This window comes from Homo sapiens, chromosome 2 (assembly GCF_000001405.40).
Source record: "Homo sapiens chromosome 2, GRCh38.p14 Primary Assembly".
NCBI lineage: Eukaryota > Metazoa > Chordata > Mammalia > Primates > Hominidae > Homo > Homo sapiens.
In genome coordinates this window covers 44,861,830-44,863,887 of record NC_000002.12, presented here as the reverse complement: position 1 = coordinate 44,863,887, position 2,058 = coordinate 44,861,830, and the positions used below count along the sequence as shown (strand labels likewise).

The 2,058-nt window shown below is 32.4% G+C and overlaps 1 annotated feature.

Annotated features, from left to right (window-relative positions):
* Positions 1,066-1,167: a silencer, noted in NCBI's record as "fragment chr2:45089860-45089961 (GRCh37/hg19 assembly coordinates)". NCBI's record gives its function as "represses an EF-1alpha promoter that drives an FKBP-Casp9 reporter gene in an ReSE screen in phorbol 12-myristate 13-acetate-treated (for megakaryocytic differentiation) K562 erythroleukemia cells {active_cell/tissue: K562(+PMA)}" and the evidence as "EXISTENCE:reporter gene assay evidence [ECO:0000049][PMID:32094911]".

The following is a 2,058-nucleotide window of genomic DNA, read 5'->3' as shown; positions in this document are numbered from 1 at the left end:
AGTATGTCATTTTGAGGGATGCTAATATAAATCGTAATGCATTTTTAATTTCAAATTCCACTTGTTTATTGCTGGTATACAGGAAAGTGATTGACTTTCATATATTAATTTTGCACCCTGAAACCTTGCTATCATCTCTTATTAGTTGTAGGAGTTTTAAAAATTGATTCTTTCAGATTTTCTACAGAGACAATCAATCATACCATCTGTTCCCAATCTGTATACCTTCTATTTCCTTCTTTTTTGTCTTGTTGCATTAGCTAGAACTTCTAGTATAATGTTGAAAAGTAGCGGTGAGAGGGAACATCCTTTTCTTGTTCCTGATCTTAGCAGGAAAGCTTCAAGTTTCTCACTATTAAGTGTGATTTTAACTGTAGGGTTTTTGTACATGTTCTCCATAAAATTGAGAAAGTTCTCCTCCATTCTTAGTTTTCTGAGAGTTTTAAAAATCACCTATGGGTGCTGGATTTTTGTCAAATGCTTTTTATGTATCTATTGATGAGATCATGAGACTTTTCTTCTTTTATCTGCTAATGTGGTGAATTACATTAATTGATTTTTGAATGTTGAACCAGCCCTGCACACCTGGGATAAATCCCAATTGGTTGTGGTATATAATTCTTTTTATATGTCACTGGATTCAGTTTGCTAATATTTTATTCAGGATTTTTACATTTATGTTCATGAGAGATATTGATCTGTAGTTTTCCCTTCTTATAATGTCTTGGCTCACAGAATGAGTTAGGGAGTACTCCCTCTGATTCTATCTTCTGGAAGTGATTGTAGAGAACTGGTATAATTTCTCCTTTAAATTTTTGGTAGAATACACCACTGAACACATGTAGGCATGATGCTTTCTGTTTTACAAAGTTATTAGTTACTGATTCAATTTATTTAATAGAAATAGGCCTATTCAGATTGTCTATGTCCTCTTGTGTGCATTTTTGGCAGACTGTGTGTTTTAAGGAATTGTTCCATTTTATTAAGTTATGAAATTTGTGAGTATAGAGTTGTTCATAATATTCCTTTATTATCCTTTTAATGTCCATGGGATCTATAGTGATGTCTACTCTTTCATTTCTGATAGGAATAATTCATGTCTTTTTTTTCTTTATTTTTGGAGACAGGATCTCACTCTGTCATCCAGGCTGGAGTGCAGTGGCGTCCTTCAATTTTTTTTCTTATGCTGGTATAGTCTTACCAGTTTCACTGATCTTTTTGAAGAAACAGCTTTTGGTTTTGTTGATTTTCTCTATTGATTTCCTGTTTCCAATTGTATAAATTTCTAATCTAATTATTATTTTTCTTCTGCTCACTTTGCATTTAATTCTTTTTCTAGTTTCCTACGGTAGAAGTTTAGACCATTGATTTTAGATCTTTCTTCTTTTCTAATACATGTTTTCAATGCCATAAATTTCCCTCTATGCACTGCTTTCACTGCATCTCACAAACTTTGATAAGTTTTATTTTCATTTCTATTTAGTTCAAATATTTTAAAATTTCTCTTGGGATTTCTTCTTTGACCCATATGTTGATTAGCAGTGTGCTATTTTATCTCCAACTATATGGTGATTTTCCAGCTTTCTTTCTGTTATTGATTTCTAGTTGAATTCCATTGTGTTCTAAGAGCAGACACTGTATGATTTCTATTATTTCAAATGTGTTAAGATGTTTTATCACGCAAAATGTGGTTTATCTGGGTAAATGTTCCAGGTGAACTTAAGAAGAATGTGTGTTCTGCTATTATTGGATAAAGTAATCAATAGATGTCAATTATATCCAGTTGATTGGCGGTGGTGTTGAGTTCAATTACGTCCTTACTGATGATCTGTCGGCTAGATCTGTCTATTTCTGATAGAGGAATGTTTTAAGTCTCCAGTTATAATAGTGAATTCATTTACTTCTTGCAATTCTGTCAAGTTTTTGCCTCATGTGTTTCGATGCTCTGTTGTTAGATGTATACACATTAAGGATTATTATGTCTTCATGGAGTACTGACTCCTTTATTATTACATATTGTTCCTCTTTATCCCTGATAAATTTCCTTGCTCTGAAATC